We start from the raw sequence: 17,781 nt of genomic DNA, 5'->3' as shown, positions 1-17,781 counted from the left end.
TGGGATGAGGAAGAGGGAGGTGTTCAGAATAATTCCCAGGTTTCTGGCCTGTTTGAAGGGAAGAATGGGACACCTTTTTTTGAGATAGAAAACTCCGAAGAAAAACTAGTGGGTGATAGAGATGAGTGGTTACCATGATCCTGGATTTAGTCTTGCTCACGTTGACTTTCAGGGGTCTTTGAGTGACATGAGTGAGCTAGACCTTACAGAAGAATTCTTGGCTAGAGATTAAATTTAGTGATGAATCTGTGTGTAGGTGTTATCTGAAACCACAGGCATGGATGGAAAGCATGGAGAGACAACAGCAAGGACTGTGTCTTTAGAAATGCTGATGGTGAATTATTTCCAAATGAGGGTGATCATGCAAATGAGATAGGAATGGAGACAGAAGAGAATTAGGAAGAAGCATATCTATCAGTCATGAAATTCAAAGGGATCAGCTGTCAAAAAAAAGGGAATGTTTGAATCCAGTGCTGATGAAAAGTGAAAAGTTAAGTAAGATGAGCCCTGACGTATGTTCACTGGATTTAGAGACGTGGAAGTTGATTGAGTACTGGGGAGAGAAGACAGATTGAATTAGATTGAGGAGTAGGGCAATCAGATAGAAATAAACAGATAACATTCTTTTGAAAAGTTTTAGTATAAAAGCATTTTGGATATCGTTTAAATTAATAGCAAATAATTCTCACCACCTGCCAAATACCAGGTCTTAATTAAGCATTGTGGAGGACTTAAAGTGTATGAGGTATATTTGTCCTTATCAGAAATGTAATTTAATATCTAACACAAGACATTTTCCTGATGAGGATATAGAAATAATTTGTGAAGAGATAAATATAATATTTACTAAGGTTTTACAACATTTCAAACATATCATTTTATTTCATGCACGTAGCCCTGTGGATTAGATAAATTAAATCTTTGCACTGTAAAGGAGGTATATGTTTTATGTCAATAATTTTAGATGTTCTAGGTAAGGAAATTTTAAAAACTAACACCTAACACATAAACATTTTTGATGTATTTTCTTTTAATAATATTCTGTGTAAATTATTAATATGACATTTTACCAACTGAACAGATAAGAAAATCAAGAATCAAACAATTTAAGTAGTTTTCAGAATGCCACTCAGCTGTAAGTTGCAAAATCAGAATTTGAAAATTATTGTTTGATTTGAAAATTTAGACTCTTCCTTCTCCTACCATACTACCTGGTGAATAAATATATGAGATTACCTGCTAGACAAATTGTATAAATTAGACATCCCTAAGAGCAAGGAGAATTTTGGATGGGGAGTGTCAAATATATTTCACATAGCACCTGGGGTTTGAGCTGGATCTTAAAAGACAAATAGGATTTAGATAAGGAAACAGCAAATTGTGCACCTTGGGCCAAATCCAGCCCACTACTTTTTTCTGTATGGTGTATAAACTAAAGAGTGTTTTCTTCATTCTTAAATGTAAAGTGTAAAAAAAGGTTATTAATCTTTTAGCAATATCAGTTGCTCCATTTTGCCTCTGGGTCCACGAAGTTTTAACTATTTACTATTTGATCTTGTATATAAAAAGCTTGCTGACCTTGATTTAGAGAAATACATGAGGGGTGGGGCCTCAAGTTAGAACAATGCCATCAGCCTATTTCTAAAGGAAGAAAACACAGGGGAATATTCTGGGGAAAGGGAGTGAACCAATCTAGGAAAGCAGAAGATCCATGCACTGTGGTCAGGCTCTCGGCTGTCTTTATTACTAGGCAAAGAAGAGTGGTCAATATTTTCCTACGTAAACATTTGCACAATTATCCTATCAACTAGATTTTGAGGCTCTCCTGGGCAATAATCATTTTTTTCCTACCTGTGTTTCCCAGTAGAGTCTCACACATGGCTGGTCACAGACTACTGGCTCAATCAATGTTAGTTGACAAACAGCCTCACATCATGTAGACAAGCTAGTTAATCATTACCAATGTCCTTTCCTCTTTAATTGTCATACACTGAGTCATAGCCTTTCCTCAAATACATCACTCTCAGGGACAACAAAATGTGTCCTTCAGTTGTAATAAACGGTGGGAGAGTGCAGGAGAGAAAAAGGTCCCAGCAATTTCTGATGCCGGATGTGCACCTAATTGCAATATTGACAAGAGAAAAGATGGGCCAATTTGAGTGTGCCAGTGTGATCTTCCAGCTGGATTATGCCATTATAAACAAGACGGGCTTGCCTACGTTGGAAATAAGGATGTTCAGTTTGCAGTAAATTCTGTTCAGAGCCCAAAGTTGAGCCCAGGGACCCCAGCAGCATAATCAAGGCCGTGATTGATGAGATGTCAGCGACTGTTAGACATAGTGTGTGACGCATCCAGTCACGGGGGACCTGAGTGTTTGTCATAATGTCACAGCACCTGCTGCTGCTGCTACCTTGGGGTGTTGGGAAAAGGGATGCGCCTGACGTGGCCGTCCCCTCCCCCAGCGCCCCGCAAGTGTTCGAGAGGAAGGCCGCGGGGGTATCTGCCATCAGGAAAGACAAAATGGAGCCACGCAGGGGAAAGCAGCATGGGGTGGGGGAAGGTGGCACGTTTCCGGCGCAGGGAGAGGAAGAACAGGTGCTCCTCCAAGGAAGACTGCCGCTGCTCCCCGGGCCCTGGCAGCCTGCCCCGCCGCAGAGCTGCGCGCACGCCGGCCTCCTGGCAGCGGAGCCCGCGGCGGAACCACCACAGCGAAGCATTCTGTCCCCTCGCAGCTGCTCTCCCAAAAACTACAGGTCCTCCAGGAGGCCGAGATAAACCTACGCGCAGCCTTGTCTTCCGGGAGAGGAGAGTGCCTGTTTCCCTACGCGAAATGATGTTTAAGATCCCTGCCCGAGCCCCCAGTCCCGCAGTTAAGCATCAACTGGCCGCCTAACGGGATTGTTCTTCCGCTTGGCATTTGCAAGGGATGGATTTTTCTCCGTTCTCTCCTCTGCCAAGTTTGCCTCCTCTGAGGCTCTCTGGGAGGGTATTTGTAACTCTGCAGTTCAGTTTGAGGAAGGAAAAAAAAATAAGACAATTTTCCAAAGCAATCGTGTGGTCTTTAAAATATTGTTATGTAAATGAATCTAATGTGTCTCTAAATTCATTAAGTGGGTTGGAGGGTTACTAGCCCTGGAGGGCCCCAGCGAAATTGGCAGAGACATTTTCACTGTCTAGGTTGTGGTTGTTGACCTTTTCTTCTGTCTTGCTTACCCTTTCCTAGGGAGGAGGCAGGAACTCGAGGGGCTTATCGGAGTGGCAGAAGGAAAGCCCCCACTGAAAATGCCTGTTATGCGCCTTCTGGGAACCGTCCTCCTCTTTCACTTCCTCCCAGCCCCAGCTGGAATTCCCAAATGTAGCCTAAACCAGTACCATACCTGCTAGACAAATTGTATAAATTAGACATCCCTAAGAGGGAGGAGAATTTTGGATGGGGAGCAAATAAAGGAAAAGGAAGCTGCCAAAACAGTGAGTCTTGGTCAGAATTTCACAGTCATTTCTCAGGTCTGGGTTGGAGGATGTAAACACAGGGGAAGTCAAGACAGATTGTTGCCATCCTAGCTACTTTTTGTAATTGGGAAGCATGTAAAGATTGACTCCTTTTTCTTGCGTCCTTCAAAGAGCACGAAAAGTGGGGCAGTAAGTATTCAAAAGCATCTGTTTCCTGCCTGAACCCCTCTGAGTACCAGAGGGGGCCAGCAGAAGAACCTGCCATGGTCCGTAAACATGCAGGGAAGGCTGTGACATAGGAAGCCAGGCCCACAGCTGAGCCTCCCAAGGATGAAGATAGGCATTCATCGAAAAACTGTTTTTGTGTTTCTTCCAGTACTGCTACTTTTTAAGTATAATTTACATACAATAAAATGCAGATTTTTAAGTATACTGATCTATGGATTTTGACAAGTATGTACACCCATGGAACCCACCACCCATCAAGAAACAGAACTTAGGCCGGGCATGGTGGCTCACGCCTGTAATCCCAGCACTTTGGGAGGACGAGGCAGGCGGATCACCTGAGGTCAGGAGTTCAAGACCAGCCTGACCAATATATAGTGAAACCCCATCTCTACTAAAAAAAAATACAAAAATTAGCTCGGTATGGTGGCACATGCCTGTAAGTCCCAGCTACTTGGGAAGCTGAAGCAGGAGAATCGGTTGAACATGGGAGACGGAGGTTGCAGTGAGCCGTGAGCCGTGATTGCACCACTGCACTCCAGCCTGGGTGACAGAATAAGACTCTGTCTCTAAAAAAAAAAAAAAAAAGAACTTGTTCATCACTGCAGCAGATTCCCTCGTGCCCTTTGTTTCAATCTTCCTCTCATCAAAGGACACCTCTGATGGATCTGCCTTCTGTCATTACAGATTAGTTTGCATTTTCTAATGTCATATTAATGAAACTACACAGTATGTAGTCATTTTCTGGCTTTGTTTGCTTAGAATGATGTTTTTGAAGATCACCCATGTAGGAACATATATCGAGAGCATCTATATGTAGTTTGTTTCATTTTATTGGTGAGTAACATTCCATGATATGGTTATACCGCCATTTGTTTATGCATTCATCTGTTGATAGACATTTGGGCTGTATATTGGTTTGTGGCTCTTATGAGTAAAGTTGCAATGAATATTCTTTTAGATTTATCTGGATGGATGTATCTTTTCAGTTCTCTTGGATAAATACCTGGGAGTGAAATTGATGGGTCATAGGGTAGGTGAACGAATTTAACATTATTGGGAACTGCCAAACAATTTAGCAAAAGGTTTGCACCATTTATCATTCCATCACAGCAGTATTTGAGAGTTCCAGCTGCTCCACATCTCCTCCAATTACAGTATTGGTATTGCTAGTCTTGTTTGCTTTAGCCATTGTAGTAGGTGAGAAGTAGTATCTGATTTCAGCCAAACATTTTCAAAGCAGTCATTTTCCTGGGGACCTATTGCTGAATTCTAGCAGATTTTTAGCTGGGCTATGAAAGGTAGAATTACAATAGGAAAAAGGTTTATATTTAGAGTCAGTCTGCATATTCATATTTTTAAAAGAAAACCTCTAAGCAGCAATTTGAGTTTAATATTTCTCCCCAGAAGTCTAGTTTCCTTAACAGCTGTTTATAAATATTTACCTTCACATTTTTAATGACGACAATGTATATAGCACAAATACCAGGAGCTTTAAGGTATAAATATTCAACACAGAGGTTTCCAGTTGTTTCTATGTAGGACACAGAGACCTGTCTTCACATACAGGTCTATGGAAGGCTTGCTGGCAGTAAAGGTGGATAAGAACTGATGCCCTAGAGAATAAACTTCCCTGGTTTGGGTCTTTTCTTTGCCAGGGGTGTGATTTAAGGCAAGTTATCTTGCCTCTGTAATGTATCATAATATCTGATATGGTTTGACTGTGTCCCCACCCAAATCTCATCTTGAATTGTAATCCCCATAATCCCCATGTGTCATAGGAAGGACCCAGTGGGAAATGATTGGATCATGGGGACGGTTTCCCCCATGCTGTTCTCGTGATGGTGAGTGAGTTCTCAGGAGATCTGATGGTTTTATAAGCATCTGGCATTTCCTCTGCTTGCACTCACTCTCTCTCCTTTCGCCTTGTGAGGAAGGTGCCTGCTTTCGCTTCATCTTCCACCATGATTGTAAGTTTCCTGACGCCTCTCCAGCCATGCAGAACTGTGAGTCAATTTAACCTCTTTTCTTTATAAATTACCCAGTTTCGCCAGTCTCAGGCATTTCTTTATTGCAGCATGAGAACAGACTAAAAAAATACCCTCCTCCATAAACTGGGATAATCATATATCTACCTCCTGGGCATGCATCTAAAACTTGAAACCACTGCCTGGCACATGGGAAATGCACAATAAATGCAAAAACATTCAAAAAAGCTAATTTTTAAAAGTGATTTGCCCTCTATCATTCTCCTTTTCTCCATTGAACATAACTGCAGGGCTGATCTGGCATCTCAAGGCCACCTGGAATGAAGTGCTGAGTCTAAGGGTCCATAGGCAGCTGGCATGTGATGTGATTCCAAGCTTCTAAAGAAATGCTCAGGAGAAATATATCTCTGGAAATGGGACCTGGAGGGATTTGTGTAGCCTTTGATATTTCATGCACACTTCAGTGAAGCTCCTGAAATTGTGTACAAAACTCATAGGATTTTTTTTTTTTAACCTGTAGCTTGCAGCAGATTCTCCAAGGAGACTGGGACCTCAGGGTCTTTTGGATCCACTGCAAAATAAGGTAGGACCATTGAAGGGTATGGAACAGATTTTGGAAAAAGAGAGTATTAGGATTGAGCTTCAGTTCTGCAACTTTTCAGCTAGTTGTTTCTGACCAAGTTACTCAATTACTCTAAGTCTCAGTTTCCATATCTTTGAAGTTGACATCATAGTATTTTGTATCTCACAGGGTTACTGAGAGGAATAAAAAGATGACATGGGCTGGGTGCAGTGGCTCACGCCTGTAATCCCAGCAATTTGGGAGGCCGAGGCGGGCAGATTGCCTGAGGTCATGAGTTCGAGACCAGCCTGGCTAACATGGTGAAGCCTCATCTCTACTAAAAATACAAAAAAATTAGACAGGTGTGGTGGCGCACGCCTGTAAGTCCCAGCTACTCGGTGGGGCTGAGGCAGGAGAATTGCTGGAATCCGAGACGCAGAGGTTGCAGTGAGCCGAGATGGTGCCACTGCACTCCAGCATGCATGACAGAGCAAGACTCCGTCTCAAAAAAAAAAAAGAAAAAAAAAAAGACATGATTGACATTCAGGAACTGGAACCTAGTAAGTGCCAAACAAATATTAGTTCCCTCCCCATTCACTGACCTAGATTATAGAAAGCAGGCTTAGCCTCTGTTAAATTGCAAATGACTTTGGGAAAGATAATAAATTAATTAGCCATTCTTGCCTTAGTATGAATGTACCAAATGTTTTCTTTAAAACAGAAATCTTGCCTCAAATATTAACAGACCACAGAAAAGAAAATATACAAAGACAAAATTACTTCCATTTAGAGAATTCCCTTAAACAATAATATTAAATTAATGGATAAATTTTGAGACCTTTCTTTTGCATTTCTGTCTCTTTGTACCTCTAAGATCTCTATTCATAACTATAGCAGCCCAAATATATGTATCTTTAGATATCAGAGTCCTCTTATCTTTAACTCAAGAGTCAGCAAACTATGGCCCATTGTCTAAATCCAACCTATGGCCTACTTTTGTAAATAAAGTTTTATTGGAATACAAACAGCCCCATTTGTTTACATATTGTCTATAGCTGCTTTTATACCCCAACACAGGATTGAGCAGCATGACAGAGACCACACGACTAGCAAAACCTAAAATTCTTACTGTGTGGCCTTTTACAGAAAATGTTTGATTCTTGATTGACTCCTGTTTGACTCACCTAGTGCCCTTTTGACACATTGGGAATATGCGAGAAAGCAAGAGGAGTCAAATGGCATAGAAACACGGCAGGAAGACTGGAAAGAGGCTATGATTCCCAGTGCAAACAAATCTGGGTTCAGGGACAATCATTTCATTTTGACTTACTAATTGATCACCCTTCTGTTTATTTAGGACTTTAAGAGCTTACCAAAATCTCTGTCCTTTATAAAATCAAAAAGAAGACAGACTAGTGGGATCAAAGGAAACTCCATAAAACAGTGGGTTTTAGATAATTTTTTCTAATCTTTTATTTTTTATATTTATATTTTATATAAGTTTTCTAAAAGAGTTTGAGAACTATAAATCAGGAACTGAATATAAGAAAAAGATAAACATGCTTACATAAACTATGTGAAAGGAACAGAATGGAAGAATTTAAAGAGTAAAACCTTAAGGAATTAAACAGTAATTTAAGGAGAACATCTATCTATTAAGGGACTGTGATACAATGATAATTAAATCATCAGCAAAAAAAAAATATTTTTGTGATGGAAATAAAGTATGGGGGAGGGAAGAAATTAGCATAAATTTAAAAAATATTACCAAGAAATTTTTAGGTCTTTGATTCAAAAGGATATTTCTTTTTTATTTTTTCTCCAACATAGAGACATTTTGATTCACATCCTTTGAAGGCTTTGTTTTCAGAAGAACTGCCCAGATAAAAAGCAACCATCCATCTCATGGATGAGCGTGGAAAAAGAAGGAATTTAGAAAAAATAAGCATGGTGAAAAGGGAAAGAGTTGTAAAGGGAACTGAATTTTGCACGGGTAAATCTGCCAATCACAGCACAGCTGGCCCAGGACAAAGGACGATAATAGATGGAGAGATGATGGAATCCAAAAAAAACCTTTTAAAACCACATTCATGAGAATGACCCCTACTAAAGGGATGGACAAATGTCCAGGGCTTCAAAAACGATTTTCCTTAAGGTTTTCTCTGTAAGCTCTGAAATTATCTCTGGGCAATGGCTGAGAAGTCTCTATCTCTTTATTTCTTTTCTTTGGGGTGGTTGGTAGAGGATGCAGCTTGAAGTTTTCTTTCTCTTCCCTTCATGAGACAGGAGTGGTAGCAGATGAAAAAGTAACTTAGCGAAGGCAAAGCCAGGTTTGTCTTTCTGATCTAGATTCTACGAGTAGAGCTGACTGCATATGGAGAGACAGAGAAAGGAACAGGTTCAATATAAAAATGCAAAGACCCTTGGGATAGAGCTTCCTTGGTTTAAGTTTCTTTGATCCTGGAGCTGGAGGTGAGGATTCTCATGCAGGTGATTTATTGAGATGAGGGTAAGAGTGGGGTTCTCTTAAGTGGAAACATGGGCAAGGGATGTGAATTCAGTAGGGTGAGGCAGGAAAATGGGTTAAGTAAGTAGGTTAGCCTAACTTCACGCCTGATCTCAGGGAGATTTCTGGAGTATGAATTGTACCACCGAGTAATTCCCACCTTGAGGTCAAGGATAGCCAATTTGTACCTAATGTCAGGGGCTGAAATCATGAGCTGCAGACCATTCCCAGGGAGTGGATAAATACCCTGCTTACCGACTTACCTCCCTCCCTATCTGCCCACAAGTGAAGTGACTTCTGTTGTCCAAGGTCAATTAAAGTAGGGGACAACTCTGAGCCAGTAACAATCAATATGGTAGCTGAGGGATGGGTAAAATGGCCCATTAAAGAGGTTTTGGGTGGGGCACCAATTCCTACTCCCACATATGCTAAGATTTCATCATTTAGAAGTAATTACTAGGCACCCAGTATTGGGTACAATGAAGGAGTCACTAGGGCTGGGATGAGGGTGGACAACGTCTTATAAGCAGTTGACTCCTGGCATGGGATGGAATCAAAGGAAGCTCTATTCCATCCAAACCTACTGTCTCCCTTCCTCACCTATCTATGTACATGGACTATTTCCCTTCCTCGCCTATCCATGTACATGGAATACCGGAATTAGATCATTTATTTGGAGTATATATTTTTTCAGGTAACATAATTAAATATGCATTGAAAAGCAGTAGAGAGTATTACTAACATTACTATTTAGATGTAGGTCCTAGAAATATTTTGTCTCTCTAAATGTAAATGCATTTTTTTTCTTTTTCCAAAAGAAGAAAAACAATGTGTTTTCATGTTTCCTTTAGCTGGGAGAAAGGTTAATTCCATTTTTATTTGTTTCTGCTCCTTTACTAAGTTTATTCTATTTTATACTTGTAAAGTAATATGAAGAAAAATTCTATTTCAAATAACTAATTGCAGCCACATTCACATATTTCATTGATACTAAGGTGAATGTTTTTCCACAATTTACTATTGGCAAAATCAGGATGGGATGTTGCCCTTTACTATCCCTTTGCATCAGGTGAAAGTCAGAACCTAGCAGCATTACCTGTGCTTATAAAAACTTGGTTACCACTTCATTTGTTTTATGTGCAATGTTGTTACTATCTGGGTTCTGTTTAATTGCCATCAATAATTTAGCCTTAAAATATCTCAAAGGCAGAAATGCAGAAGGATAAGGCTTTGGGATATTAATTTGATATTAATGAAGCATATGTTTGATGTTGGAGGAATGAATGCAATTCCACATTATCTTGCAAAGCTACACCAAGTGCTTTATGTTAATAAGAAAGGAAGCTACTCACAGGTAAAGCAGTTAGGTTTTGTTATCAAGGCACAAGCAAAAACATTATCTATCCTATGCCAACGAGTACAATTGAACTCAGGAGAAACAGTCACATCCTCTGAAATATGTAAAAATAAATAAACTGATAAGCCGATGTGACTGATTTGTGCATTGCTCAGGACTAACATAAAGGTATTTTGGCGTAGTTTAACTGGCAGTCTGTTTTTTTAAAGGTTTTATCAGTACATTTACATTTTACAATGAATAGGGGCTGACATTGCATAAAACATGGTGCTAGTCAACAGCATAGTTGATCTTATGCAAAATTATTTTGGAAAACAACTTGAGGGGTTGATGAAACCTGGATGATGAAACCATCAGGGTCACACCTGAAGTCAACAAAGTTAGGTTTATTAGTTTGCTGCAGCAAAGGGAGAATAGAACCCAGAGGAAGCCTTGGAGAATCTCATAAGGGAAATTGAAGGAAGGCTTCTGACGGAGTTAGGGCTTTGGATGAATTTAAGGAGAAATTAATAAAGCAGGGGCTTGCTCTAGATTAGATGCTGTCAAGAAATTAGAGCAAATTTCATCTAGGGGGCAGAAAAATTAAAGTGAAGCTAAGGTTGTCATTGGCAAAAAAACAAAAACAAAAAACCCACTAGTTATTCACATTAGTCAAAAGAGGGTGTCTAGTCATTGTGGTTGTGGAGTAACTTGTCTCTGTCATATTGCAAACATGATCATGATGTGACCTGATCTAAACATTACTTATATTTAATTGGGAACATCATGGCCTGGCTGCCAGTGGGGCCACTGTAGTACAATATGTGAAAAACTCAGTGGATTTGGAGTTGAAAGCCTGGGTTAAAAGCCACACATCTTTTGGGTGTGGGATTTGTTCAGTTTTCATAAGCTTTCTGAACTTCAGTTTCTTTAACTGTAAAGTGGATCTACTAATAAACATGTGAAGTGGTTGGTGAGAAGATACGATGGAAATACAAATACTAATGACAATAGTAAGCAATTAAAAATGTGTTGAAAGCTTGGTGGTGCATGCCTGTAGTCCCAGCTACACAGGAGGCAGAGGCTTGAGCTTAGGAGTTTGAAGAATTGTGAGCTCACTGCACTCCAGCCTGGGTGACAGAGCCAGACCCATTTTCTTAAAAAAAAAAAAAAAAAGTGTTGATTCCCTTTAGGCTGTCTTGCATAAAAGGCCCAAGCTGCTGGAACAGCTCATACCTTGAGTGGAGGTGAAGGAGGGAGATGGGTATTTTGGGAGTATATACAGTTCGTGCTGCTAGGAGATGTTCCCACTGCAGGGGAGCAAATTCAGAAGCAGAATGGTTACAAGGCTTGCACACAGCTGGAGATTCAAGATCCTGCCTGATGCATCTGATATCATCTTCTCCCCAAAATGGACCCTGAGCCAAACCTTCCTGGCAAATGATTTATTAAGGAAGGATCCCCTGGAAAGGCCAATAAGGGATTGTGGGAAGCAGGAAAAAGAGGGGGAGGAAGCCAAGCGAAAGTGTGATTTCAAGTGAATCCCCAAACTCAGCTTGCTTCTGCTGGAGGCTCTGGAGCATAAATTACACCCCAGAGTTTGCCCAGCCTTAAAGCAGAGGAGCCAAGCTTTTGTACTTCTGCACCAGTCAGTCACTAGCTGTGGGTGCCTGTGAGAGTCAGGCTCTGTGCAGGTGCAGTGTCCATGGGAGCAGAAGGCAGCCATTAGTAGCAAAGCAAGTGGAAACTGGGGGAACGGGTGCACAGTCCCAATAAGAGGGATATGAGGACATCCAAATAGAGCACCAACAATGTCCACCGGGGGTGGGGAAACAAGTTCAAAGAGACTTTCATGGACTTGTTCATGGGAATCTTCTCTGGTTCCACCACACTGTTGTGACACCCTACTCTCATTATGATCATCTAGAGAAGCAATGCTTCCTCCAGAATCTGTCACTTCCTGGTGCATAGCACTAATTGAAAGGCTAGCATTTCAAATGAAGTATGTCAGAGATAATATTTAAAAGATGTCGTTCTGTCTGGCATGTCACCGGAGTTTGACATGACTACAGGAGCCTTGTTAGAAGTAATGAGGCAAGATGAGCTCTAGCAGATTCATTCTTCAGAGCACAGCTCAAGCACTGAACCAATATTATTACTGACCATAAATGTTGTTAGGGAGATGTGGAAGGGATGTTAACGCCACTAAGCATTACAATCAAATCTCAATAATGACCATTGAAGCAGGCTAATAAATTATAGATTATGTGTGCAGTGCAAATTCATTCCTTCAGAAACCTTAGCTTCCTAGCTTCAAGAATTTCAAGGGTTTCTTCTGCTGCAAGCACCAGGCTTAAAGCCACACAGAAAAAAAAAAAAAAAAAAAAAAAAGAGCTGGCAATTCTGTTAGAATTCTCTGCGTCCTCCTCTATTAAGTTACCTTCCTTCCTTCCTACTAATGAGATGGAAAAATAGAGTAAAGATGTAGATTTGCTACTATGTTAGAAACTCTGAGTGCTAATGCAACACATCCCTGTTGAATCAGGAGGTGTCTGGAAACCAGACCAGTTTCGGCTATCACTTGCAATGCATTGTGTAACATCAGGCTTCCCAGTCTTGTTTCTCTGGCTCCAGGGCCTGCCAGGCACATTTTGGAAAAAATAAAAAATCCTTGTCATCAAGAAAGAGGATGCCATGTGTGTGCATTTGTTAAAAATAAATCTGCTCTCACCAAAAACCTATCCAGGAAAATCTAAGGAAAACCCTTCAGGAGAAATACTATCCTTTCACCAATGATTTTCATGTTCTGAGGATCTCCCGGGAGCCATAGTTTCTTTAGAAGTGGGGCATGACTTCTGAGGATTTTATGTTTCTTTTAAAAAGTCCATTTTGTTGGATCTGTCTCTTTACCTCAGGGTTTAAGAACTAAGGTCACCCAACCCTTGGATGGGTCATTGACCTCCCTTTACCCAAGTAGCTGCTGCCCCCTGGAGTCAGGCAGAGGAATATCCTGGTACTCCTAGCCTCCATTCCAACCCACTCCACTCCCAGATAAAGAAAATATGCTGGGAAAAAATAATTCCTCAGGCGTTTCTTTGGCCAATATTAGAGGCTTCATATAGTAACGGTCTATAATTTATGTATCTGGTACTACTTACTTTTTATAGGTGAGAAAACTCAGATTCAGAAAGAGGATCTGATTGCCATGAGCCTCGGCAAGCCGGCAGCGTTGCTGGAAGCGTCCTGGGTCCAGGGACAAGCGCCTGAAGTTTAAGCCACAAGACACTGCTTCTAGCTTCGGTGCCTTCAGCCATCAGGATTATGGATTTAGAACAGAATGGGTTTGGAGATCTCCTTTGTTCTATAGCAGCAGTTTCACTGCTTGGGGTCTAGCTTGTTAGTACAAGAGAAGAGGACCCCATAGCTTCTGTTTGGCAAACCTAGAGACTCAATGGTGAAAAGCTCCTAGAACCATTCTCAGATTTTTCTCCAGAGTGAAACCTAAATTTCTTAGGCTCATGTTTCATTCTTTTTGTTTCCACGAGTGCCTCAACAGCCTGGATTCTTTCCCAGGAACCAAGTCATCCGGGCCAGTGATTCTCTACCCGACGTTGTTATCCAAGAGTCCTTGGCAGAGAGAGAGAGAGAGAGAAGAGCGCTCCACACCTCATTAGGCAATTATTGATGGGGAGGGGGATCTTATCCAACTATTCCAGGAGTCATGGGGTATTTATATTAAGAAAATAGGAAAGGAAAAGAACCACCATTCCCAAATTAATTTGATACAAAGTCTCATTGTTTCCTGCTTCCTCCTTTTCAAAATGATTAGTTTAACATAGAAGCATATTGAATGCTTGAATATTAGGATGAGTAATTCATGTCTTAGCATTTTAGAGTTTTATGGAAATCTCTTCTTCTACCACTAAATACTGAATGAACTTATTCATTATTCATAAAAGTTAAATATTTCTCTCTCCTCTCCCCTCCCCTTCCTTCCCATCTTGGCCAAAGTAGACGGGTTGGCAGCAAAAGAGTTCTGGGGAACATGGCATGGATACCATGCACTGAATAGCTCTATCTCAATCCCTTGCTGCCCAAGAGACCAAGCTGTAAGGTGGAAGGCACTGGAAAAGAGCAGACATGAATAGAGGTGACTGAAAATTACTAGTGATAAAGTGCCTAAGTCCTTGTATACCTCTTACGATAATGTTATCAGAAAAGTGCCGGACTACAAGTTAACCTTACTGTTTTAGACCTTTTTGAATATTTTCTAGTAAAAATTAATTTAGTAGGCAAAGAACTGAGACTTAAAAAATCAAAGGCTCTCATCCACTCATTTTGCAAGTATGTAATGGGATTTTGTTATGGATACTTAATTGACATGGCAGTAATGTGAAATATGTATCGCTTTCTCAGCAAGTCATCTTCACATCTCCTAGATGATAGAAAATGAATAGATCTTAATATCTGAATTCTCTGGGGATGGGAAGGAGAGCAGAGTCAACAGGGATTTCAAACTTTTATAACCAATAGTCTTGTGACTATGGTAACTTCTGATGGCACACTCTGAGGAGGAGGAGGAAGGAAAAGATGGGCAGTAAGGAAGGGACACACATTTAATGATGAACACAAATGCGGAAGCTTGAGAGGGACAGTGAAGAAATGGGAAGTTGTAGACAAAATAGCAAAGTTACCTTCCCAGCATCCATCACTGAAAAGCCCTGGAAATTAATCTACTGCGTAATTATGTCATTTCAATGGCCATTCATTTTTATTGTGTGCCAAACTAATAGTGGATAGTGGAGATACATCAGTATGAAAACCACACATAACCACCACCTTTATATAGTTTATAACCTAATATTGATCCAAGTCAACCCCTACTATTCCTCCAAATCAACCCATACTCATTGTGCCACTGTTTTGCATAAAATGAGACAGATACAGAACTCACCATCAAGCAGTTTATAGTATGTCAGTAGAAAACATAAATATTAAACTCAATTCTTAAATTTATGCACTAGCTTCAATTATGGTATCTCAAAAACTTCTTGTAAAAATCTTGTGAACAATTTAAAGATTACTATTTTTTTCATTATTTTTAATTTAAAAAAATAATTTAGGAATAAAATGGAGGCTCAGTGGACTCAAGTGATTTGCTCAATTATACAACTAAGGAATGAAAGGGTGGCTGGGCTTTGGCTTCGATTCTTTTTTGTCCTTAAATGATGCCAGCTCCCTGCAGCAAGAGTTTTATTTTTAAAATAAATAAAGAAATTAAAATAAAAATCTATCACTACTGAAAAAGTACTTGGTATAGAAAACAATTTTATTTGCTATAAATAAGATATGGAATCATAAAAGACAAGACTGGAACCCAAGGTTAGGGCAGTCTGCATAGAATCACACCTTCTGGCCAAATATTGATGGAATCTACAGTTATAGTGGGGGAGTCCATGATCTCTGTGGAAAAAGGTTGCGTTTTGGAGTTGGAAAACTTGAGTTTAAATCCTGACCTTGAACTTATTACTTGAAAGACTTCAAGTTAGGTTTCACCCTCTTGTTCTGATTACTCATCCTCATAGGTCACAGTGAAGATTATATAAGGCACTATGTATGAAGCGCCTACTACTAATCAGTATTGTATATTACCCTTCTTTTGGAAAACTAACGCTTTTATAGAAGGGAAAGTGAAAAGTTTGGGTACTTGGTTTTCTTTTTTCTCTGCCCATGTGTATTAGTCAGGTAAAGCCAGGTTAGTGTTTGTTTGAATAACTGGGGACTATAACCTAGCTAAGTTAGCACATAAAACTGACCATCACAGCCCATCCCTTGTCAACTTGGTGTCTATACACATCTCTTTAGATCATATTTAATATTTTGAAGACAACAACAAAGACATGCTTCCATCTAACATAATGCAACTATCCTGCATGAAACTGAAAATACTCTAACTCTTTCTCTAGAATAAGATACAAAGTCCCTGGGTAATGTTCATTCTTTTCCTTGATTTCCTGTAACTTAAATATAGTGATGTAGAGTTGGCTGTCACTCACACATCTTATGTTATATGATAAGGGGTAAGAAAGGGAAAAAGCAATAATAATTGCCAGAGATATACATACACACAGACATTTACATAACAAAATAGGAAGAAATAAAACTATGAAAGTCGTACTTTCTGCAATTGGTCACATGGTTTCAGTCACATAGCTAATATTTTAAGTACATTTTCTCACTACCATATTCCCTTTTCCCTCAGCAAGCACCTCAGCTAGTCGGGTTCTTTGCCTGGCGAAGTGATGCAAATCTTTATTTCTGAAGGGTATGGGTCATTAGCAGTCCCGCTTTAATGGGGATGCCATAGTTTTCTATTGACTCTTGTCTCAGGGCATGGTAGTACTAAGACACACACCGAATGGTCTTCTGTATTCCAGACATACGCTTTCTTACTATCCTTGTATTATAGAAATCCAGTGTCCTTGGTAATCAAGATTAATCAGCCAAGTCAGCAAGCAACATTCTTCTTAGCTTGTTGATTCAGACGCATGCGGAGTCCAAAGTGGCCACGTGATCGTCTTGACTTCTGCTTCAATAGAATCATTGTTGTGTCTCTTAGCAGAAGAGTTCCACTCTTTGGAACTAAGACTTCTAAACCAGCAGAGCATAAAGTCATGGGGATAGAAGGGAAAAATTTTGCTAGTGTGCCACTAGTAGTAATAGCGGTAGTAAAGGGGGTCATGTTACTCCCATTTTACTCCTTGATCCCTGGGCCTGTGAATCCTGGCTATAGGAGAACTGGCACCATATATTGGATGCTGACTGAGACACTGGTCCAGCCCTGCAAAATACAGCCAGTAGATAAGACTCTATCTGAATCTTAAAGGGACTATTTTACTGTTCATCCATGCCAGCTGCTTGAGGATTACAGGGAATATGGTGAATTTCATGAGCCTGAGCCATTTGCTGCATACTTCATTTACTGTGAAGTGAGTTCCTTGATCAGAAGCATGTTATATGGAATATCATGGTGATGAATAAGCCGCTCTATGAGTCCATGGTTTTCGCAGAAATACTGTGTTTAGGGAAAGCCAATTCCTATCTAGCATAAGTGTCTATTTTAGTAGAAATGCACAGATTTTTGGCAGTGGAGTAGAGTCTTTCCTGAAGAGGATAGGGGCCTCTCCTTCATTCAAGGTGCTGTGGGTTTATAAATTGGCTCAAATCTTGGAATCAATTAATGTGATTCTGTTTTCATGTTTCAAATTAGACTTCTGTTTAGTAAACCTATAACTCTTCCACTTATACAAAGCAAGAAAGAATTTAGTGGATTTTCATCTGTTTTTTTTCCTAGGGATGTGATGATCAACTAGCAGAATCTCTGCTTAGTGGATCAATATCAATAAATCCAGCCTGACTTAACTTTACATTCCTTCCACTATTATTAAACACCTTTAACATCCATTCACAAACATATAACCCAAATTTCTGTGTGTGTAATTTGGGAAAATTATGCTGTTTTCTCAATGTATAGTGTACTTTATCTTGAGTCACACTTTGTATCTCATCTTCTGGGACCTGCTGGGATTTGAGTCTAGTTACAGGTCTAGATACAAAGAAGAATGGTGGGGGTGAGTCCTGAGGGAGATCAACAGTGTCTTTCAAGGCAACTATTTCAGGAGAGGTTATTATGACTTCTGCAGGCAAAGCAAG

At 40.1% G+C, this 17,781-nt stretch overlaps 1 long non-coding RNA gene across 1 annotated transcript; it reads left to right on the top strand.

The window, feature by feature from the left end:
• The first annotated feature begins 2,418 nt into the window (after nt 1-2,418).
• LOC107985384 (uncharacterized) lies at nt 2,419-3,457 on the top strand. Its single transcript, XR_004837567.2, has one exon. It is a non-coding gene; the product is annotated as an uncharacterized LOC107985384 (long non-coding RNA).
• The last annotated feature ends 14,324 nt before the right edge of the window (nt 3,458-17,781 follow it).

The sequence above is a fragment of the Homo sapiens genome, chromosome 20, assembly GCF_000001405.40.
Source record: "Homo sapiens chromosome 20, GRCh38.p14 Primary Assembly".
In the NCBI taxonomy this organism is placed as follows: Eukaryota; Metazoa; Chordata; class Mammalia; order Primates; family Hominidae; genus Homo; species Homo sapiens.
This window is presented reverse-complemented; position numbering and strand designations above follow the sequence as displayed.